The sequence below is a fragment of the Homo sapiens genome, chromosome 1 (genome assembly GCF_000001405.40).
Source record: "Homo sapiens chromosome 1, GRCh38.p14 Primary Assembly".
NCBI classification, from domain to species: domain Eukaryota; kingdom Metazoa; phylum Chordata; class Mammalia; order Primates; family Hominidae; genus Homo; species Homo sapiens.
In genome coordinates, this window is record NC_000001.11 from 8,090,287 (window position 1) to 8,114,466 (window position 24,180).

General features: G+C 41.6%; 1 long non-coding RNA gene across 1 annotated transcript in view, besides 3 other annotated features; it reads left to right on the top strand.

Moving 5' to 3' along the window:
• The window catches only part of ERRFI1-DT (ERRFI1 divergent transcript), a 100,578-nt gene that overhangs the window by 63,794 nt on the left and 12,604 nt on the right, over positions 1 to 24,180 (top strand). The gene's annotated exons all lie outside the window — the stretch shown is intronic.
• Positions 4,183 to 5,382: an enhancer, noted in NCBI's record as "BRD4-independent group 4 enhancer chr1:8154529-8155728 (GRCh37/hg19 assembly coordinates)". NCBI's record gives its function as "activates an origin of replication core promoter dependent on BRD2, P300/CBP, MED14 and CDK7 cofactors, and independent of BRD4, by STARR-seq in HCT116 cells {active_cell/tissue: HCT116}" and the evidence as "EXISTENCE:reporter gene assay evidence [ECO:0000049][PMID:35650434]".
• Positions 6,395 to 7,594: an enhancer, noted in NCBI's record as "P300/CBP strongly-dependent group 1 enhancer chr1:8156741-8157940 (GRCh37/hg19 assembly coordinates)". NCBI's record gives its function as "activates an origin of replication core promoter dependent on BRD2, BRD4, P300/CBP, MED14 and CDK7 cofactors, with strong dependence on P300/CBP, by STARR-seq in HCT116 cells {active_cell/tissue: HCT116}" and the evidence as "EXISTENCE:reporter gene assay evidence [ECO:0000049][PMID:35650434]".
• Positions 6,960 to 7,009: an enhancer, noted in NCBI's record as "active region_99". NCBI's record gives its function as "activates an Ori minimal core promoter by ATAC-STARR-seq in GM12878 lymphoblastoid cells {active_cell/tissue: GM12878}" and the evidence as "EXISTENCE:reporter gene assay evidence [ECO:0000049][PMID:35858748]".

Sequence of the window (24,180 nt, forward strand, 5' to 3'; positions counted from 1 at the left end):
CAGAGTACAGTAAATCTCAAAATATCCACTGACTTGCCTGCTGTGGTTTACTCAACAGGAAAATGACTTCAGCAGCATAATCTTTTACTCCAGATCCACATCAGGCAGCTTTTTGTGCTGTTCTGAAAACATCTTAATTCTTCCCCAAGTACCATGTTTCTTGGAATTATTCACCGGAAATTAATAGTATTCTGAATTTTAAAGCAATTCAAACCACAAGTGACTTTGTAATGGCTCTTAGCAGTAGTATAAAAAGCAATTGAGCACAGTTTATGATAGCATTAGTCACTATTGTGTATAGTACTCCCTTCCTCTGTCCCAAAGATGTGTGTTTCTATCCCTCTGTGATCACTGGCCTGCTGTACTGGGTAGGGATAGCAAACAAGACAAATTAGTAAAATACGTTGGGAATGTCAAGGACTAGGGGAAAAAATTAGGTAAGAACAGGATCTTGAACAAGCTGGGGTAGAGGCAGCAGGGAGATCAAAATAGTAAATGGGGGCCGGGCACAGTGGCCCATGCCTGTAATCCCAGCACTTTGGGAGACTGAGGCAAGCAGATCACTTGAGTCCAGGAGTTCAAGACCAGCCTGGTCATCACGGCAAAACCCCATCTCTACTAAAAATACAAAAATTAGCCAGGTATGGTGGCCCATGCCTGTAATCCCAGCTACTCGGGAGGTTGAGGCGGGAGAATCACTTGAATCCAGGAGGCAGAAGTTGCAGTGAGCTGAGATTGCACCATTGCACTCCAGCCTGGGTGACAGAGTGAGACTCTGTCTCAAAAAAAAAAAAAAAAGGAAAAAGAAATAGTAAATGGGGTGATCCAGGAAGGTGTCACTGGGAAGGTGACATATGATTAATGACCTCAATAATCTGTGAGTAACGTGGACATCTGGGGGAGAACATTCCAGGCAAAAGGAAGAGCACGTGCAAAGGCACCATGGCCAAGTGTGCCTGTGAGCACAAATGCACAACTGGAATGTGGTGAACACGGGGGAGCGCAGGAGGGGACAGGAACAGAGAGGGGGTCAGGGGCCACATCAGAGAAAACTGCACCATAATGACTTTGGCTTTTACTTTGAGTGACAGGGGAAGCCATTGAGGGCTTTTGTTGTTTGAGACCAGGTCTCACTCTATCACCTGGGCTGGAGTGCAGTGGCACGATGACGGCTCACTGCAGCCTCAACCTCCTGGGCTCAGGTGATCCTCCCACCTACTACAGATGTGCACCACCTAGCCTGGCTAGTTTTCTTTTTGTATTTTTTTGCAGAGATGGGGTTTGGCCATATTGCCTAGCCTGGTCTCAAGAGATCCGCCTGCCTTGGCCTTCCAAAGTGCTGGGATTACAGGCATGAGCCACCACGCCTGGCTTCATTGGAGGGTTTTGGGCTAAGACATGACATAATCTGATTTATGTCTTAGCACCCAAAGCAGAGAGAGCAGTTGAGAGACTCTCATGGACTGGAGGCTGAAGCACACAAGTTCCTCTGGAGAAGGCAGAGGCCATTCCCAATGTTGAGAGACAGGTCAATTCTCCCCAGGCAAGAAAAAATAAGGATGAATGGCAATTGTTCAGAGAATGGACTAGCTGGGGATTAAATGTCTGTTATTTTTGGAAGATAGCTTTTTTTTTTTTTGGTGCCCTGCTTGTGGTTTCTTGTTGCATCCTTCAGAGCACGCCACAGGGAAAGATAAGAGCATGGCCTTCCAAATCTAGCACTGAATTAGAAGACCTTATTTTTGGCCAGGCTTGCTAGCCCAGCACTTTGGGAGGTGAGGCAGGTAAATCGCTTGAGGCCAGGAGTTCAAGACCAGGCTGGCCAACATCGTGAAACCCTGTCTCTACTAAAAATACAAAAATCAGCCAGGGGTGGTGGCGCATGCCTGTGGTCACAGCTACTCGGGAGGCTTGAGGCAGGAGAATCACTTGAACCCAGGAGGTGGAGGTTGTAGTGAGCCAAGATTGACTCACTGGACTTTAGCTTGGGCAACAGAGCAAGACTCTGTCTCAGAAAAAAAAAAAAAAAAAAAGACCTTATTTCCAGTCTTGGTCCTGATGTTGACCTTGTAATATCCTGGGGCTGGTTACTTAATCTTTCTGAGCTTTAGTTTCCTCCGTGGAGAGTATGTTTGTTAATTACATTATGGAATTATTATGTCAATTAATAACATGGTAATGACCCGAGGGCCATAAAGTACTCTGAGTGTCTTTGACATAGGCATGACAGACAACTGTGGTAGTGACAACACTAGTGTCGCTACTGAAAGAAACACATGGCATTTCAGCACCAAAAAAGGTTCATGGACAGGAAAACTGTGGGCGACCGGGAGGAGATGGTGGCGTGAAGTTGGAAAGACATGAGTGGTGAGGAGGATGACATTTAATTTCAGGACATTTTGATGGATGTGAACAGGGATTTCGTCATGCTGTTTGTAAAAGGTTGGGCATATTAGAAGGGTGAGGACAAAAGAGAGTGTGTGTAACGTAAATCACTTACTGGCCCCAGAATCTGGTGTGACCGCACGTGCCGTCTTTCCACCCCGTTCATACTCAGCTGCTGCAGCTGACTCAAAGACTTTATATTTTTGAGCAGCCTGTTCAAGAGGCTAGCGAGGTTGACCTCTGATACGTCTGCCATGTGTAATCACAGGTGTACTGAAATGTGTGACATTTATTATCCTTATTACACACTAATTTGTCAAACAAAACTGAAGTGTCACATAAAGTGGCACAACTTTGGATGAATAATGAGGTGGACCGTGGTGGATCTTTTGAAAGACACAGGCTGATCAGACTGGGATGACAGCGTGTCATTGACTAAGGAGAGAGCATTCAAGGTCATCTATCAGTTGGGGTTAAGATGTCTATTGCGAGCCAGGAGAGGTGGCTCATGCCTGTAATCCTAGCACTTTGAGAGGCCATGGAGAATTGCTTGAGGCCAGGAATTTGAGACCAGCCTGAGCAACATGGCAAGACCCCATCTCTACAAAATATATTTTTTTTTCCAAGAAGAAAACAAAGTTAACTGGGCATGGTGGCATGCACCTCTAGTCCTAGCTACTCAGGAGGCTGAGGCAGGAGGAGTGCTTGACCCTGGAAGGTGGAGGCTGCAGTGAACTATGATCGCGCCCCTGCACTCCAGCCTGAGTGACAGAGCAGACTCTGTCTCCAAAAAAAAAAAAAAACAAAAAGTCTGTTGCTTTAAGTGCTTTGTTTATTCATCCAACAGATAGTTTTTGATAATATACTGTGTTGGGCGCTGCAAGGTATAAAAAGATGAGTAAGACACGGCTCCTATCACCAGTGAGTTTATAATCTAACAGGGAAATAACTATACAATCAGGCAGTTTGTGATATGTGTCATGGGCATTCATGAAAGTGGCAGAGGTCAGGGGGCGGGGGTCCCTTCCAGCTGGGAGGAATAGGGATGCTTTGTGGAGGAACTGGCATCTGAGCAGGAGGCAGCCGTGCATTCACATTGAGGGGATAAGAAGCTAGGAGACTGTTGGTGAGGCCTCACAGGGAGGCTCCACCTGGACTGGACTTTGGAGGCCAGGTCATTCATTTGACACAGAGGAGACTGAGGAGACATTACGAGCCAAGAGCCAGCCCTGAACACGGTATGGGTGTGTTACAGGGGGGCCATCAGGTAGACCGGAGCAGGAGAGAGTTCTGACGATGTAGAATTGGGCAGGTTTTACGTCTGAATGTCAGGTTGCGGAGTCTGCAGGTGGTGGAAAAGTATCAAAGATTTCTGAGCAACGGGCATTTTGGGGCAACAAATCTGGCAGTGAGGTCTAGGATAAACCAAAGGGCAAACGAGACAAGAAACGAGGAGACTCTTGAGATAGTGCAAGTTAGAGGTGAGGAACCAGGATGGATGGGAAAATGACAGGAGAGGCAGGTGAAGATGTCATTTCAAAGGAAGCAAATGAACACGGTTTGAGCAGTATAAACCCTGAAGAGCCATAAAAGCAAAATCTAAATATCAGGGATTATTGAAGGGAAGGAAGAGGGAAGCTGCAGGGTCAGCGTGAGGCTGGAAGTGGAGGCATGGAACAGGGAAGCTGGGAGATGCAACCTCAGTCTGGCAAATCATTATAGACTCTAACCATCAGCATGGTGGAGACCAACTGGTCCCTCCTGCCAGTTGCGTATCTTGAACTCTTCAGGTATGTAACTGATAAATGGCAGCTAGGGTTTCTCAACGCCTCATCCACTCGGAGCCATCTAATCTCCGTCAACACGGTCAGATGTCTGGTTCCTGCTGCTTGGCCTTATTTCCACGGGCTGTCCATGTCAGCATGGAAGTGAGCACTCGTGCAGCTTTGGTGGAGAATAAAGGTCATGTACATACGTGCTCATTTCTAAATGAGCTGTAATTATATTTGCATCTCAGGACTCCATGACTCACCTCTGCCCTTATTAACTCCACCCAGTGATCTGCCTCTTGCATTCAAAGATGAAGTCACTCCATCCACTTCACTTTTCAAATCTTGGCAGAGCTTTCATGATGATTTTTTTCTTTGAAAGGAATCCAAAAGTTTGGATACCAAACTTTCAGAGCCATCAAGGGCTCCTAGGGAGACGCGTCCATCCCCAAATGTGAGGTGTGTTGTGTTGTGTGTTTCTTGCTGAGACATGGTGAGCTCCTCCACATCAGAGGGCAAAGTGCCCATGGGCAGCAAATGTGCTTGTCACGTTGAACTTTAACCAAAGATCAAAAAGCATGGCGGAGATTCGAGTTTCTTAATCTAAGTCGGTTTAAACTCCTGGTGAGAGGGGAGAAGCAAAACAAATATGAGCGTGACATCCTGCTTTTAGCGCTGAGAGCCGTGGTTCACAGGAAAAGGCTGTGAATCAGAAGGGGCCAAGAGCTCATCCTCTGGTCAGCACAAGCGATGTTTTCCACAAGGGAATGAGCCGAAGTGAAGAAGGCAGAAAAACACTGGAATCCCTTAAAATGCCTTGTTGTAAACACACGTCTCAAGTATTTGTTGAGTATTTACTATGGTGAGGAGATTGTCTTAAGTGCAAAGAAGACATAGTTTCTGCTCTTTTGGATTTACATTAGACAGTTACTAAGATAAATGGGAGGATCTGGAGATGAGGATTTTTCATTGTTTGTGGATGTGGGAAGCAGTCTTCACAGATGCAGTATTGGAGACCAGTATCCTTGGTAACAATGGTGAAATTATTTATTTTCTCTAAAAAATTGTGATTTTTAAAATACTTTAACTATCAGATACTAGAAACATAAAATAATGATTCCCAGTTGCTAAGATTCATATCGGCTAAACATTCACGAGGTTCCTATAACATGCCCTCACATACCTTACCTTATTCCGTGACCGCAACAACTTTGTGAGATCGTTTTATCACCCCCATTTTACAGATGAGGAAACTGAGTCTTGGAGAGGTCAAATAACCTCCCCAACCTCCTACTAGTAAGTGGCAGAACAGGGATCAAAACCCCAGGTCTTCTAGTCATAAATTCTCTGCCTTCCACTCTATCAAAGCTGCCCCATGAGGAAAAAACACCTAAAATTGACTCATCTCTATGCCTATGGAAAAAACCTACCTAACCCCTGAAGTCAAGGAAACTTAAAATTCTCCTGCCAGATAGACTTCAGCGCTGAAGGACTTTAGGTTTCAGAATCCCTTCTTATACACCACTCCCACTTTGGGGTCTAATGAGGCTACCACATGAAATCTATCAAGCAAATCTGAGATTTTCAGGGCAAATTGAAAAATCCATAATGTTTACATGGTCTAGATAAATTGTTATTGTTTATTTATATTCCAATTTCCTAAGAACTGATAGTAAAACTATCCTTACATGAACATGAAGAAAATTTCCAACACTCCAATATTATTTGTATCTACCTGTACTATCTCCAAGCTTTCCAGTTGAAAAATATAAAATCTGTGTTACTATTGGCCTCTGTCCCTTATTCCTGGACCTGGGCGTTAGCCTAGAGTCGCTCTGAAGTTAATGATTAAAATCTTTGAGTGGACATTCTCCACCGTTTCTTGGAAGCATTCTTGAGTTACCCGTTAGTTTCCAGTCTTAAACAGAGAAATACAGATACCACCTATTGGTAATGGTTTTTAGATCATGAATCTCCTTGTGGGATTACTTTGGAACATCTCCCCGCTCTTTATCGGCAGGCCGGATGGTGAAGGTCACTTCATCCTTTATCAGATTGTTATTCAACCACAATCCTTCTTTCAAGGATTCAGAAATACACAGGTTTCTACTAAAAGAAACGTCCATATCTTTAACCAATGCCTGTTTCTAGCACATTTCTCTAAGCGTAATTCTTTTTATCATCCAGATTCTTATGATTCATTCAAAAGAAATTTAGAGCCAAATCTGGCTTTTAAGCAAATATTTCTAACAAACTGACCTATTTTAGTATCACTCACCATAAGGTTATTTCAGGATGGTGAATGACAATATGCCAATGAACAGCAGAGGCTACCTTTTTTGATTCCTAAACAACCAGATTTTGTGAGACTACGTTTTTCTTCAGTGATTCATAATCAGTTTTGCAATTTGAAAGCAGTTTATGAGTCATTCAGTTTATGAATTTGTTGTCACTTCCTTAGAAAAGGGCTCCCTTTCCTTATAGCTTTTCAAGTTTAATTCAGTCGCCTGAAAGCTTTCATTTAACCTCAGTTTTTTCTGCTCCATGAAGAAAAACGATGTTATATATCCATTTTACTGTTACTATCAGGTAAGAAGGCCTAGGGACTAGTGACATCAATTCCACGAGCCATCAGTGTCCTGGGCTTTTAATTCACAGAAGAATGGATAGTTGTAATGAAAAAAAAATCTTATAAAAATACCAGTCCTGTTTTCTAAGTTTTAAATACAGATTCTCTGTTTTTAGTTATCTTGTTTCTGCTTCCCAATGCAATAAACTCTAGCCACCTGCAGGACTGCTGGATATTCTGATCTCTCCCTAGGATGAAAGAGCCACTTTAACTGGAAATCTTTACAACAAAACACCCTCAACTATTCAAGGAAGAAATTCGGTAGACTTCCATGCACGAGGCCTTTGAGAAGAGAAAATAGGCCCTCGTTCAGGCCCAGACAGATCATTGACAGCGTTTTTGGATTCCTTTTTTGATCAGGAAATTAGATCAACATCCTTATAGGGAAAGGTTCATTTGGGGCACAGGTGGGGCTCTTTAGTTAAAGTGTCTACTTCTCAGTCCATATTAGGCAACAGGAACTGCCTGAAAGGCACTTATTTTTCATTCTGTGTCATTCAACCATAAATGACTCAGTTCTGATATTATTTACCAAGCTCCTGTTGAACTCATAGGAGAGGCAGCTGTGCAGCACTCGTAATGCTAATCTTAATATAGTCTCAGCAGGGTATGCAGTCAGTGAGAAGTAAGACGGGTCATTTTTCCTTAAGATCATATTAATTAACTAGCTGACTCATCTCCCAGGAACTGGATTGAGTCCTCAAAATGCTTCATTTCTAAAATCATGGAGGCTTAATCTAAGTAATTTTACTGTCATCTGGTAAAGCTTATTAAAGCTTAAGGGTTTTTTTTAAAAGGCACACTTGAAAACTTAGAGGATTAGAGAAACTAAGGTAATTTTAGTAGCAGCAATGAGTATTTCATTTTTAACATTTAAACATTAATCTGGCATTCTGAAAGGCCTGAGATCTTATTGCTTCTTAAAATAGGCTTTGTTTTTTAGAGCAGTTTTAGGTTCACAGCAAAATTGAATGGAGAGTTCCCATATACTCCCTGCCCACGCAGGCACAGACTCCCCACTGCCAGTGTGCTGTACCGTAGTGATAAATTTGCTGCAATTGATTAACTCGCATTGGCACATCAGTATCACCCGAAGTCCACAGTTTACATTAGAGTTCACTCTTGGTGTTGTACATTCTATGGATTTTGACAAATGGATAAAAACACTTATCTACCATTATAGTATCATACAGAATAGTTTCACCGTCTTAAAAATCCTCTGTGCTTACCCACTCAGATCTTATTTTTAGTTTCAAAGTTAATGATCTAAATATGAGAACTGAAATCTGCAAATTTAAAAAAGCACAAGAACCCAAGTGTTTAACTTAAAATCAATGGTTCTTAAAAATCATTAATATAATGTAAAAATACTAAATATTAAATTTCAACATTAATCTTGAGATTTAATTAATTCAAAACATATGTCTGAAATGTACCTTTGCAGTAGCCATGAAAAAAATGTGTTACCTAAGTAAATAGTTTAAGTGTCTGAGAAACTTTTGGCCAAGGGACTGCAGTCACTATTGCTAATTCCCTGCTATCTGGAACTTAGCTACAATTAAGCAAATAAACAACAACAACAAAGGACAGAAAAATCTCTGAAAAATCCCCCCAAATTAGGAAAATAAGCAACACAGTTCTTTTCTTTTCTTTTTTTTTTTTTTTTTTTTGAGATGGAGTCTCTCTCTGTCACCCAGGCCGGAGTGCAGTGGCATGGTCTTGGCTCACTGAAACCTCCACCTCCTGGGTTGAAGCAATTCTCCTGCCTCGGCCTCCAGAGTAGCTGGGATTACAGGCATGTGCCACCATGCCTGGCTAATTTTTTTGGTATTTTTAGTACAGACAGGGTTTCACCATATTGGCCAGGCTGGTCTCGAACTCCTGACCTTGTGATCCACCAGCCTCAGCCTCCTAAAGTGCTAGGATTACAGGCATGAGCCACTGCACCCGGCCCAGCAACACATTTCTAAATAATTCATGAGTCAAAGAAGAAATTACAATGGAAATTAGAAAATATTTGAACTGAATGAAAATGAAAACACAATTTATCTAAATTTGTGACATGCAGCTAAAGTGGTGCTTAGAGGAAAGTTTATAGCAGCATTAAATACATATATTGGAAAAAAAGAAAGGTCTAAAATTAATGATCTAATCTCCTACCTTAAGAGACTAAAAAAAGAAGAGCAAATTAAACCAAATATAAGCATAAATAAAGATAAGAGTGAAAACTAATGAAAGAGAAGATGATAAAACAATAGAGAAAAATCAGTAAAATCAATAGCTAGTACTTTGAAAAGATTAATAAAAGTTATACCCCCTAGCCAGACTGATCAAGAAAAAAAAAAAGAGGAAAAACACAAATTACCAAAATCAGGAATGAAAGGCCATCACCATAGATCCTACAGACATAAACAGATTATAAGGGGATATTTTGAATAAATTGATGCCAATAAATTTCAAAATTTAAAGGAAATAGAAAATTTCTTTGAAAGATAAAAATTACTAAAACTGATTTGAGAAGAAATAGAAAATCTTAGTAGCCTTATATCTATTAAGGAAATTATTATTAGTTACTATTATTATTTTGAGACAGATTCTCACTCTGTCACCCAGGCTGGAGTGCAGTGGCATGATCTCAGCTCACTGCAACCTCTGCCTCCTGGGTTCAAGCGATTCTCCTGCCTCAGCCTCCCAGGTAGCTGGAATTACAGGTGCCTGCTACCATGCCTGGCTAATTTTTGTATTTTTAGTAGAGACGGGGTTTTGCCATGTTGCCCATGCTGGTCTCAAACTCATGGCCTCAAGTGATCCCCCGCCTCGGCTTCCCAAAGTGCTGGGATTACAGGCATGAGCCACCACGCCCGGCCTATTAAAGAAATTAAATTTGTAATTTAAAAACTTCTGACTAAAAAGATACCAGGCCCAGATGGCTTCAATGGAGAATTTTATCAAATATTTAAGAAAGAAATAACATCAATCATATGCAAATTTTCAGAAAATAGAGGGAGAAGTAATACTTTCTAACTCATTTTATGAAGCCAGAATTACCATGACAAAATTATTATAATAAAGAAAATTATAGACCAGTATCATAGGTGCAAAATCCATAACAACATATTAACAAATCAAATCCAAAGATATATATATATATATATGGAGGTTAATACCATATAGGGTGTATTCCAGGAATTCAAGATAGATTTAATTTTCCATTTGTTGTTTTTTTTTGAGGCAGAGTCTCACTCTGTCACCCAGGCTGGAGTGCAGTGGCGCAATCTGGGCTCACTGCAACCTCCACCTTCTGGGTTCAATTGATTCTCCTGTCTCAGCCTCTGGAGTAGCCTGGATTACAGGTGCCCGCCACGACACGCAGCTAAGTTTTGTATTTTTAGTAGAGATGGGGTTTCGCCATGTTGGTCAGGCTGGTCTCGAACTCCTGGCCTCAAGTGATCTGCCCACCTCGGCCTCCCAAAGTGCTGGGATTACAGGCATGAATCACAGCACCCTGCCCAAGATTGGTTTAATTTTCAAACTAAATTGATGTAACTCACAGAATAAAGGAGAAAAAATTTCTGATATCTGTGTTGGTGGTCCCTAAGGCCTCCTCCAGATTCGCCTCCTAGAGAGGACTCACGGGCTTCAGGATCTAGTCATGCTCATGGCTAAGATTTATCACAGAGGAAGAACACAAAGTAAAACCAGCGAAGTCAAAAGGCACTTGGGGTGAAGTCTGGTGTGAGTTTCCAAAATTCATTTCCTCGTGCTGAACTCCCTCAGCAATGAGTTGTGACATGCGTGAAATGTTGTCTTCTAAGAAACTTGCAGAGACTCGGAGCCCAGGGTTTTCACAAGGGGCTGGTCACATAGGCGACCTTTGCATGGCACATACCAAAATTCCAGACTCCCCTCAAAAAAGGAAAATAGGTGTTCAGCGTAAACCACATGGTTTGTACCAAACAGGTTAGGCAACGTGAGACTCTCATGAGGCCTGGGAATAACGGGAACCCTCCTAAAATCTAAGTCGCAGATGCCAGCCAAAGGCTAACATTTGCAAACAGGACTTTCTTTATTTTTGATTTTATTATTATTATTATTATTATTATTATTATTATTTTTGTGTGTGTGATGGAGTCTCACTCTGTTGCCCAGGCTGGAGTTCAGTGGTGGGATCTCAGCTCACTGCAACCTCTGCCTTCCGGCTTCAAGTGATTCTTCTGCCTCAGCCTCCCTAGTAGCTGGGATTACAGACGCCTGCCACCACACCCAGATAATTTTTGTATTTTTAGTAGAGATGGGGTTCCACCACATTGGCCAGGCTGGTCTCAAACTCCTGACTTCAAATGATCAGCCCTCCTTGGCCTCCCAAAGAGCTGGAATTACAGGTGTGAGCCACCGCACCTGGCTGCAAACAGGACTTTCAAAGGAGAGCAGTCCCAGCCCTGCCATGTTAACTCTTCTCTACACAGTATCTCAGTAGATGTACCCCGTTCCCCCGAAAAGAAAACACTTCTGAAAAAATTTCATACCCACTCATAAACTCTCAGCAAATTGGTCATAAAAGGGAACTGCCTCAACCTAATGAAGGACAGCTTCAAAAAAACCCTACAGCTAACAATATCCTTAATAGTGAAACACTGCTTTTCCCTGAGATTGGGAAAGGACAAGGATGTCCACGCTCACCTTTGCTATTCAACATGTACTGGAGGTCCTCATTCGTGCAATAAAGCAAGAAAAATAAATAAAACCCACACATATTGGAAAGATGTAAAACTATTTTTACTCACAAGCAACATAATCTTGAACATAAAAAATCCAAAGGAATCTACCAAAATCAAAACAAAACAAAACATGTTATTAGCTATAAAGAGTGAGTTTTTTAAGGTTGAAGGATACAAGGTCAATATTAATTGAAATTTCTATATACAATTGCAAAAAATAGTTAAATTTCTATATGTAATAGTAACAAATTGAAATTCAATTGAGAATTGAATTTTTCAATTTTCAAACAATTGAAAATTCAGATAAAAATACCACTTACAATAGCTTCAAAAATCATGAAGTACTTAGGGATAATCTTAAGAAAATAAGAATAAAACCAATCTATAGAAAACTCTAAAATACTGCTAAGAGAAAATTTAAAATATAGAAATAAATAGGTAGCTAGACCATGCTGTGGATGGGAAGACTCAATATTTTTTTAAATGTCAATTATCTCCAAATTAATTTGTAGAGACCATGCAATGCCAAGTAAAATTTTAGCAAAGCTTTTGTAGCAAATGGTAAACTGCTCTTAAAATTGATGTGGAAACAAAAAGAGCCCACAAAGAACCCAATAAACTTATTTTGAAAATAAAGAACAACATTGGAAAATTCATATTACCTGATTTCTGGATTTAATATTCAGCTTCGGTAATTAAGACGGTGTGGTATCACTACACAAATAGACAGCTCAATAGAACAGAAAAGTGAAAACAGACCCACATATACCTAGTAAATTGATATTTGACAAAGTAGCCAGGATAATTCAGTTGAGGGGAAAGACAGTCTTTTCAACAAATTATGCAGGAAAAACTGGACATCTCCGTGGAAAACAGGAGCCCCGATGTTTATCTCATACCTTACATAAAACTAGCTTGAAATGGATCATACACCTTAACATAAAACTTAGAGATGAATATATAGGAGAAAAATCTTTGTAACCTTGGAATAGGCAAAGATTTCTCAGCTAGATATAAAAAGTATGAACTATAAAAGAATTGAAAATAGACTTCAAAGTTAAAAACTTTTGATTTTGGCAAGACACTGTTAAGAAAATGACAAGGCAGGTCACAGACTGGGAGACAGTATTTTCAGTACAGCAAGCTCATGAAAAGATGCCCCATATCATTAGATATCAGGGAAATACAAACTAAAACCCCATTGGAAGGCTAAAATTTAAGAACATGACAATACCAAGTGCTGGTGAGAATGTGGAACACCTGGAACTATCGTATGTTTACGGTCGTCATTCAACATGGTAAGACCGCTCTGGATAACAGCTCCACCATTTCTTATGAAGTTATATATGTGACTTTATTCCACTCCTAGGCATTTATTCAAGAGAAGTGATAGCACAGGCTCACATAAAGACATTTACCAATAAAGACATTGAGTCTTTATTCATAATAATTGTCAAAGAACCAGAAACAACCCAAATGCCCATCCACAGTGAATGAATACATTGTGACATGTCTATAAAAATGAGATTATTTTGAAATACAAAGGAACAAATTAATGATTCATATGGATGGATTTTAAAAACATGCCCAGTGAAAGAAGCCAGGGTATCTACTGTATGATTCTATTTATATGAAACTCTAGGAAAGACAAAGTGAATCTAGGGCCGGGTGTGGTGGCTCACGTCTGTAATCCCACCACTTTGGGAGGCCAAGGCAGATGGATCACCTGAGGTCAGGAGTTCGAGACCAGCCTGGCCAACATGGTAAAACCCTGTCTCTACTAAAAATACACAAATTAATCGGGCGTGGTGATGGGTGCCTGTAATCCCAGCTACTTGGGAGGCTGAGGCAGGAGAATCACTTGAACACGGGAGGTGGAGGTTGCAGTGAGCTCAGATCGTGTCTCCACACTCCAGCCTGGATAACAGAGTGAGACTCTGTCTCAAAAAAAAAAAAAAAAAAAAAAAAGCAAATCTAGAAGACAGGTCTCTGGTTGCCTTGGGCCAGGAGGGGTTGGTCCAGATTTACCAGGCAGGGACGTAAGGGAACCTTTTAGGGTGATAGAAATGTCCTTTATCTGTTTTTTTTGTGTGTGGGTGGGTTTTTTTTTTTTTTTGAGACGGAGTCTCACTCTGTTGCCCAGGCTGGAGTGCAGTGGCACAATCTAGCTCACTGCAACCTCTGCCTCCCGGATTCAAGTGATTCTCCTGCCTCAGCCTCCCGAGTAGCTGGGACTACAGGCATGCACCACCACACTCCGCTAATTTTTTAATTTTTAGTAGAGATGGGGTTTCACCATGTTGTCCAGGCTGGTCTCAAGCTCCTGACCTCAGGTGATCCATCTGCCTCAGCCTCCCAAAGTGCTGGGATTACAGGCGTGAGCCACTGTGCTCAGCCAGAAATATTCTATAGCTTAATCGTGATGATGGTTACATGGGTGTACATATTCATCTGTCGAAACTCACGTTGCATACTTAAAGTTTATACATTTTATGGTATGTAAATTATACCTTAATGAGGTTGAGTTTAAACCTCCAGAACTTTTCTCATCTTGCGTGATTGAAACTGTGTGCCCATTAAACAACCCCCCACTCCCTCTTCTGCAGCCGCTGGCAACCACCATTCTACTTTCTGTCTCTATTCATTTGGCTGTTCTCGGTACCTCATGTAGGTGGAATCATACAGTGACTGTCTTTTTGTGACTGCCTTATCTCACTTAGCATAATGTCTACAAGGCTCATCTATTCAAATTTTTTTGAGGGGCCATTATAATGATTTTTTGTAATGCATGGCAGCCTTGCTCCTTGCCATATTGCCGCCCCCTAACCCCACATGAGTCCCAGCTTCAGCAAATGACTCCCATCTGGTGACGTCATTATCCCCATCTTCTGCTCCAATCATTGCCATTCGCCCAGAGTTTAGAAGGGGCTGCAGAATAAGGAAGTGCACGGGCTGGGGAGAAACAGCATGTTAGGTAAGGAGAATTCCCCTTAGACAGAAAGAGGAAACACAAGCCCTTTCACTAGGGACAAAAGTCAAAGCTGACAAGACTGAGATTAAGACATTGCCTAGAGCCCTCAGGTCAACAGAGAGCCCTACTTCCTGCATCCAGTGGTTTACCTTTTTTTTTTTGGACATAAGGTCTTGCTCTGCCACTCAGGCTGGAGTACAGTGAGTGGTGCCATCGCGGCTCACTGCAGCCTTAACCTCCTTGGCTCAAGAGATTCTCCCACTCTGCGTAGCTGGGATCACAGGCACGAGCCACCATGCCTGGCTGATGTTTGTATTTTGGTAGAGATGGGGTTTTGCCACGTTGCCCAGGCTGGTCTCGAGCTCCTGGGCTCAACCATTCCTCCCGCCTAGGCCTCCCAAAGTGCTAGGACTACAGGCATGAGCCACCGTGCCAGGCCACTTGATCTACCTTTTAAGACACACCTTGGCGTGCCTGAAGTCAAACCTTGACACAAAGCTGAGACACGTGTTCCCAATCATCTAACTCCATAGTGTCATTTGCAGATAGAGGTCGTGGCAGCAAGTAATCACAGTTTCTATTGACCATATGGAGGTATGAAGGCAACTGCTTCATTAATTTTTTGAAGCCAGTGATTATTAAGGATGGAATCTGTTATTATTTCAATGTTTATTGAGGACCCATAATGTGCTACACACTTGTTTTGATCACCAAATAAACAGTCTGCAAAAAGCAATATGGCTGTGGTTGCTTCAAATTTCCAGGTCATGGGGACCAGTTGCAAGGGAAGCATGAGTGACTGGATAAATATTAATGAGCATCATGTGGATGAGCATAGGGAACCTATATTTAAGGTAATATAATTTAAACTATATTTAGGAGGAGGATGCTGTCTGAGGTGTTGATTATAACCCAGGAAGGAGATCCGTAGGTCATAGTAACCAAGTCAGACCATGCTGGGGACCATCTGCAGGTGTGTTGGAAACAAAGTATATTTTCATGCTATTGAATGTATATTGGGTGAACCAATGAATAAACGAACAATTTTAGCAAATCACTTGTCTTTCTGGCTCTCAGGACAAACACCAAAATGGCCTTGCTATTAAAATGTAAACCTTTTCTTTCTTCCTGAACCAAGACTCTCAGGCCGTGCAGAGTTTCTGTTCTTAACTTTGGTTTCCTTGGCTGGGCACGGTGGCTCACACCTGTAATCTCAGCACTTCGGGAGGCCGAGGTGGGCAGATCACCTGAGGTCAGGAGTTTGAGACCAGCCTGGCCAACATGGTGAAACCCTGTCTCTAATAAAAATACAAAAATTAGCCAGGTGTGGTGGCGGGCACCTGTAATCCAAGCCACTTGGGAGGCTGAGGCAGAAGAATTGCTTGAACCCGGGAGTCGGAGGTTGCAGTGAGCAGAGATTGCATCACTGTACTCTAGTCTGGGTGACAGAATGAGACTCCGTCTCAAAAAAAAAAAAATTTTTTTTTGGATTCCAGTGTGAGACTCCTTATTAGGAAAAACATTGTTGACTAATACATGGTTATCTAGTCCTGTGGTGACAACCTATTTTTCATGAAGTCAAGTCAGGAAAAAGAAAAAAGATTTTTAAAAAAAGTCCCTATTTAAAATCAGAATAGATTTGAGACCCATAGAAAATATGTAGACTTAAAAAATTTAGATAATCTTATTGACTCAGTAATAAAATGCCTTTGAGAAAAATGGAACTGCATTGCTAACATCAGCTACATCAGTCTGTAGTAAAATGAAAATCTTTTCTAATCTTTTATCCAGAAATTAGATCTTGGCCTGTGTAATGACAAGAATTGGTCTATATGTCCTTCATCACGGATGTGGCCCTTTGTGGCTTAGGTTATTGGCTGTGACTATCACTGGTGAGACGTGCTCCCTGCCTCTTCCCTCACGCCTTCTACCCAAACAGCAGTATAGCTTAAAATAAGGAATTTAATGACTGGTGCAAGATATAATAATACTTTAGCCATATTGTGTATAACATATGTAACCATAATGTATATAACATACACATGAGAATTAAAACATGCTGTAATTAGAAAGATCATTACATTGTTTGTAATTAAATATTTAAGTACATGCCCTGTGTCAAGCGCAGTACAAGCTGTTGGGCAAAAAGGACTAAGCAATAATAAAAAAGACATAATGACGAGTGCCAATGAGGAAGTGGAGAAACTGAAAGCCTTGTACACTGCTGGTGGGATTTTAAGATGGCGCAGCTGCTTTGCAAAGCAGTTTGGCAAGTTCCTCAAACAGCTAAACATGGTGTCACCATATGACCCAGCAATTCCACAACTAATTATGTACCCAAGAGATACGAAAATATATGTCCGTGAAAAACTTGTACACAAATGCTCATAGCGGCATTATTCCTAATAGTAAAAAAGCAGAAACGACCCAAATGTCCATCAGCAGATAAATGGATAAGTAAAATGTCACGTACATCCACACAGGAGTGTTATTTGGCAATAAAAAGCAATAACCACATGCTATGCTGTGGTCTGAATGTCTGTGCCTCTCCCATCCCCCAAAATTCCTATGTTGAAACCTGATCTCCAATGCAAAAGTATTAAGAAGTGGGACATTTAAAGCTGGGCATGGTGGTGTGTGCCTGTAATCCCAGCTACTCGGGAGGCTGAGGCAGGAGAATCGCTTGAACCTGGAAGGCAGAGGTTGCAGTGAGCCGAGATCGCACCACTGCACTCCAGCCTGGGCAACAGAGATACTCCGACTCAAAAAACAAAACAAAACAAAACAAAATTGTACCTAAAATTCCCCATACTTTTAGAAATTTAAAAGTTTCTAAATAATGTAATATAAAATAAAATATCATTATAGAAACAAGGAAGTATTTGAGAGTGAATGAGAAAAATAATTACACATTAGAACTGGAAGAATCTTGCTAAAGCAATAATTAGAGTAAAAATTTTAGCCGTAAATGTTTCTTTATATTAGAAAGGAACTGCTGCTGTTAATTAGTGAGCCAAGCATTCAGTGTAACAAATTGGATTAAGGACTTCGGAATGAATGTGAAGAAAGTAAAAACAAGGGAATACTCAAAATAAAAACAGAAATCAGTGAAATCGATAACAAAGAAATAGAAAGGATTCATAAGGAAAAATGGGTTCTTCGAAAAGACCAAAAAAAGAAACACTCACTTCAGCAAAACTGATCAAGGCCAGAAGAGAGAAGGACCAAGTCAAGCCTGAAATAGGACCCATAAATACAGGCCCAGCAGAGCTCCAAATGATAAGAGGACCCTGTAAACATCTTTAAGACTATCCACTGATAAGTTACCAGAGCAAGATACCTTATCAACAGTGACTCAGGAAGAAATAGTAAACCTGCCTGGTTCTAAACCCATTAAAGAAATTGAAACAGGCCATGTGCCTTGCCTCATGCCTGTAATCCCTGCACTTTGGGAGGCCAAGGAGGATCACTTGAGTCCAGGAGTTCAAGACCAACCTGGACAATATGGCGAAAGCCCATCTCTACGAAAAATACGAAAATTAGCCAGGGGCGGTAGCACGTGCCTATAATCCCAGCTATTCAGGAGGTTGAGGTGGGAGGATCACCTGAGTCTGGGAGGTCGAGGCTGCAGTGAGCTGTGATTGTGCCACTGCAATCCAACCTGGGCAACTGAGCAAGACCCTGTTTCTAAAAAAAATAACAAAGAAATTGAAACAGACAATAAAATCTCTCCTCAAGGAACTATCGAGCCCAGGTATTTCTACAGGTAAGTTTACCAACTGTTCAAAGAAGTAATAATCTCAGTATCGCACACTCTTCCAAGTCACAGGAATGAAGAAAAGACTCCCTAATGAATTGAGACCCAAATCAATTTGTATAAGCACAAAACTAAAAAAGCAGGCAAGAATGGTACAAGAAAGGAGAATTCCTGATCAATTTCACTCACGAACATAGCTGTAAAAATCCTAAGCAACATATTTGCCAGCAGAATCAAGGAAGGTGCAGGCCCACCCTGTTTTATTGTGGTTCACTCTCTTGCACTTCACTGATGCTATACTTTCTACAAATTAAAGTTTTGTGGCAACCCTGCGTTGAGCATGTCTCTTGGTACCATTTTCCAACGGGGTGTGCTCACTTCATGTCTCTGTGTCACACTTTGCTAATTCTCACACTACTTCAAACTTTTTAATATGTATTGTATCTGTTATGGTGATCTGTGATCAATGGTCCTTGATGTTGCTGTTGTGATTGTTTTGGGGCATCATGAACTGTGCCCACATAAGACCGCAAACTTGATCGGTAAATGTTCTGACTGCTCCACTGATCGGCCATCCCTCCCGTCTCTTTCCCTCTCCTTGGGCCCCCTATTCCCTGAGACACAAGAATATTGAAATTATGCCAATTAATAACCCTACAATGAATTCTAAGTGTTCAAGTGATAGGAAGAGTTGCATATCTCTATGTTGGTGCAAAGGTAGTTGCCGGTTTTGCTATTACTTTCAATGGCAAAACCCGCAATTACCTTTGCACCAAACCAACCTAATATTTTAGATCAAGTGCTGAAAGTGATTATGCTTAGTGAGGAATGCATATTGAAAGCTGAGACAGGTCAAAAGCTGAGTCTCTTCTGCCAAACAGTTAGCCAAACTGTGAGTGCAAAGGAAAGTCTCCTGAAGGAAATTCCAAGTGCCGCTCCAGTGAACACATGAATGATAAGAAAGCAAAACAGCCTTATTGCTGATATGGAGAAAGTTCTAGTGGTCTGGATAGAAGATCAAACCAGGCACAACACTCCCTTAAACCGATGCCTAATCCAGAGCAGGGCCCTAACTCTTTTTTTTTTCTTTTGAGAGAGAGGCTTGCTCTGTCGCCCAAGCTGGAGTGCAGTGGTGTGATCTCGGCTCACTGCAACCTCTGCCTTCCGGGTTCACACGATTCTCCTCTCTCAGCCTCCCGAGTAGCTGGGATTACAGGGGCGCCCCACCACACCCAGCTAATTTTTGTATTTTTAGTAGAGATGGGGTTTCACCATGTTGGCCAGGCTGGTCTCGAATCCCTGACCTCAGGTGATCCACCCACCTCGGCTTCCCAAAGGGCTGGGATTACAGGCGTGAGCCACCATGCCCGGCCTAACTCTTTTCAATCCTGTGAAGTCTGAGAGAGATGAGAAAGCTGCAGAGGAAACATTCGAAGCCAGCAGAGGCTGGTTCATGAGGTCTAAGGAATGAAGCCATCTCCATAGCATAAAAGCCAAAGGTGAGGCAGCAAGTGCTGATGGGGAAGCTGCCGCAGGTTATCCAGAAGATCCAGCTAAGATCCTTGATAAAGGTGGCTCCACTGAACAACAGATTTTCAGTGTAGATGAAACAGCCTTCTATCGGAAGACGATGTCATCCAGGATTTTCATAGACAGAGAGGAGAAGTCGATACCTGGCTTCAAAGCTTCAAAGGACAGGCCAACTCTTGTTAGGAGCGAATACAGCTGTTGACTTTAGATTGAAGTCTGTGCTCCTTGGCCATTCCAAAAATCCCATGGCCCTTAAGCCTTAAGCTAAATCTACTCTGCCTGTGCTTTATAAATGAAACAACAAAGCTTGGATGACAACACATCTGTTTACAGCATGGCTTACCAAATATTTTAAGCTCACTGTTGAGACCTACTATTCAGGAGAAAAAGATTCCTTTCACAATATTACTGCTCATTGACAATGTACCTGGTTACTCAAGAGCTCTGCTGGAGATGTACAAGGAAATGAATGCTGTTTTCATGCTTGCTAACACAACATTCATTCTGCAGCCCATGGATACAGTAATTTTGACTTTCAAATCTTATTACGTAAGAAATTCGTTTTGTAAGGCTATGGCTGCACATAGATAGTGATTCCTCTGATGGATCTGGGCAAAGTAAATTGAAAACCTTCTGGAAAATATTTACCATTCTAGATGCCATTAAAAATGTTTGTGATTCATGGGAGGAGGTCAAAATATCCACATTAACAGGAGTTTGAAAGAAGTGGATTCCAACCCTTGGAATGACTTTGAGGCATTCAAGGCTTCAGTGGAGGAAGTAACTGCAGATGTGGTGGAAATAGCAAGAGAACTCGAATTAGAAGCGGAGCCTGAAGATGTGGCTGAACTGCTACAATCTCATGATCAAACTTGAATGATGAAGAGTTGCTTCTTGTGGATGAGCAAAGAAAGTGGTTTCTTGAGATGGAATTTACTTCTGGTGAAGATACTGTGAATACTGTTGAAATGACAACAGAGGATTTAGAATATTATTTAAACTTAGCTGATAAAACAGCAGCAGGTTTGAAAGGATTGACTCCAATTTTGAAAGAAGTTCTGTGGGTAAAATGCTATCATATAGCATCACACACTACGAAGAAATCTTTCGTGAAAGGAAGAGTCCTAATCAATGCAAAAAACTTCATTGTCATTTTGAGAAATTGCCACAGCCATGCCAACCTTCAGCAACCACCATGGTGATCAGCCAGCAGCCATCAACATAGAGGCAAGACCCTCTGCCAACAAAAAGATTGTGACTCACTGAAGGCTCAGATGACTGTTAGTGTTTTTTAGCAATAAATTATTATTATTATTATTTGAGATGGAGTCTCACTCTATCGCCCAGGCTGGAGTGCAGTGGCATGATCTTGGCTCACTGCACCTTCTGCCTCCCGGATTCAAGCAATCCTCCTGCTTCAACCTCCCAAGTAGCTGGGACTACAGGCTTGAGTACCACACTCGGCTAATTTTTGTATTTTTAGTAGAGATGGAATTTCACCATGTTGGCCAGGCTGGTCTTGAACTCCTGACCTCAGGTGATCCACCCGCCTCGGCATCCCAAAGTGCTGGGATTACAGGTGTGAGCCACCATGCCTGGCCTTATTTTTAATTAAGGTATGTACATTTTTTAGACATAATGCTATTGCACACTTATAGACTACAGTATAGTTTAAATAAAACTTTTATATACACTGAGAAACCAAAAAACTAGTGTGACTCACTTTAATATTTGCTTTATTGAGGTGGTCTGGAATGCAACCCAAAATATCTCCATAGTATGCCTATATGAGAAAGATAAAGTTTATTCCAGGAAAATCGATTGTAATCTGTACCAGTAGTCGATTAAAGGAGAAAAACCATGTGATTGTCTTAATCAATGTAGAAAAGCAAATTATAAAATTTAACATTCATCCATAATTTAAAAAACTTAATCGACTATAAGTAGAAGAGAATATCCTTCACGTAATGAAGACCATTTTTAAAAACAAACAAAACTACAGCAAACCTCAAACTTTATGGTAAAACGTTAAAAACATTCTCTCTCGGCCAGGCACAGTGGCTCACGCCTGTAATGCCAGCACTCTGTGAGGCCGAGGTGGGCAGATCACGAGGTCAGGAGATCAAGACCCAACCTGGCTAACATGGTGAAACCCCGTCTCTACTAAAAATACAAAAAATTAGCCAGGCGTGGTGGCGGGTTCCTGTAGTCCCAGCTACTCGGGAGGCTGAGGCAGGAGAATGGCGTCAACCCGGGAGGCGGAGCTTGCAGTGAGATCGTGCCACTGCACTCCAACCTGGGTGACAGAGTGAGACTCTGTCTGAAAAAACAAAAACAAAACAAAAAAAACAAACATTCTCTTGAAAATGAGGAAAAACTCCAAGACATCAAGTCTTGTCAGTTTGAGTTCACATAGTAATGGAGATGCTTGTCAGATCAGCAAGACAAGGAAGAAAATTACAGAATTGGAAAGAAATAAAACAGAAATCATTCAGAGATGTATTTGATTGACTTCTTAGAAAATCCTAAGGAATATACAGACGGATTAATAAAGTGTTTTAGCTAAGTTACTGCATACAAAATCAAAATGCAAAGATCAATTACATTTCTATAATATCATCACACTAACAACACTGAAAAATAGATAATAAAAATGATGCCAGCAGACGTGATGGCATCATTACAAGCTCACTCCTGTAATCCCAGCACTTTGGGAGGCCGAGGTGGGAGGATTGCTTGAGCCCAGGAGTTCAAGACCAGCCTGGGCAACATAGTGAGATCCCATCTCTACAAATAATAATACTAAAAATTAGCCAGGCTTGATGGCACATGCCTGTGCTCCCAGCTACTTGGGAGGCTGTGGTCGGAGGATCGCTTGAGCCCAGGTGGTAGAGGCTGCAGTGAGTTGTGATCACACCACTGCACTCCAGGCTGGGCGACAGAGCGAGACCCTGTCTCCAAAACAACAACAACAAACGATGCCATTTGCAATAGTACTTAGGAATAAACACATCAGAAACGAGCGAGACCTTCATGGAAAACATTATGCAATACGCTTGCCAGACATAAAGACCTAAATACATGGAGAATTAGATCATGTTTTTGAAGACATAACCTCCAAAATACATCAATTCTCCTCCCGCTAAGCTACAGATTCAATGTCATTCCAATCAAAATCCCAAGAATTGTTTCTGTTTTGTTTTGAATTTAGCAAACCGAATTTTTAATGTGCCGGTTATAATATAGTTATATACAAGAGGATTCCATTATGTAAAAGGAAAATATACACACTCACCGTATGCATAATTAATTGCTCTAGAAAAAGATCTGCGTGGAGGGAGTATTCGTTTCCTGTTGCTCTGTAACAAAACAGCACTGACTGAGCTGTGAAAACAACACCCATTCATGAGCTCACAGTTGTGTGGGTCAGAGGCCTGTCCTGGTGTGGCTGGATTTTCTTCTCAGGATATCATAAGCCTCAGGACATCAAGGTATTGACCAGGTTGAGTTCTTGTCTCAAGGCTGTAGAGGAAAATGCACTTTTTTTGTTTTTTTTTAATCTTCAATTTATTTTAAGTTCAGGGGTACATGTGCAGGATGTGCAGGTTTGTTCCATAGGGCAATGTGTGCCATGGTGGTTTTGCACAGATCATCCCATCACCTAGTTATTAAGCCCAGGATCCATTAGCTATTCTTCCTGACGCTCCCCCTCCCCCTATCCCCGCAGGGCCCCGTGTGTGTTGTTCCCCTCCATGTGCCCATGTATTCTCAGCATTCAGCTCCCACTTATAAGTGAGAACATGTGGTGTTTTGTTTTCTGTTCCTGCGTTCGTTTGCTGAGGAAAATCCACTTCTGGGCTCATTCTTGTTGGCAAAATTCAGTCCTTTGTATTACAAGACTGAGGTCCCCTTTCCTTGCTGCCTGTCAGCTGGGGACTGTTCTCAGCACCCAGAAGCCGCCCACATCCCTACCACGCGGCCCGTTCAGGCCAGCAGGGGTGCACAGAATCCTCCCGTGCCGCCCCGACTGCCTGTTCTGTGACCATCTGGAGAAAACTGTCTGCCTTGAAAGGGCTCATGTCACTAGGTCAGGCCCACTGAGTATTTTCTCTATTTTCATGTCAACTGATTTGGGACCTTAATTACATTGCAGCTCCTTTTCACAGCAGTACCTAGATTCACGTTTGGTTGGATAACTGGAAGACGGTATGTGTATATCAGGGGCCTGGAAATTTGGTGGGGCGGGTTACATCTTAGATTTCTGCCAAGCACACTGAGATTACAGTTGTGTGTGTGTGTATTTTAAGATGACTCTACACTGACTTTTGGGGGGAAATATTTAAAAAATAATTTAAAAATTGAATAAGTTACCAAATAAAAAGCGCATGTAGCCGGGCACGGTGGCTCACGCCTGTGATCCT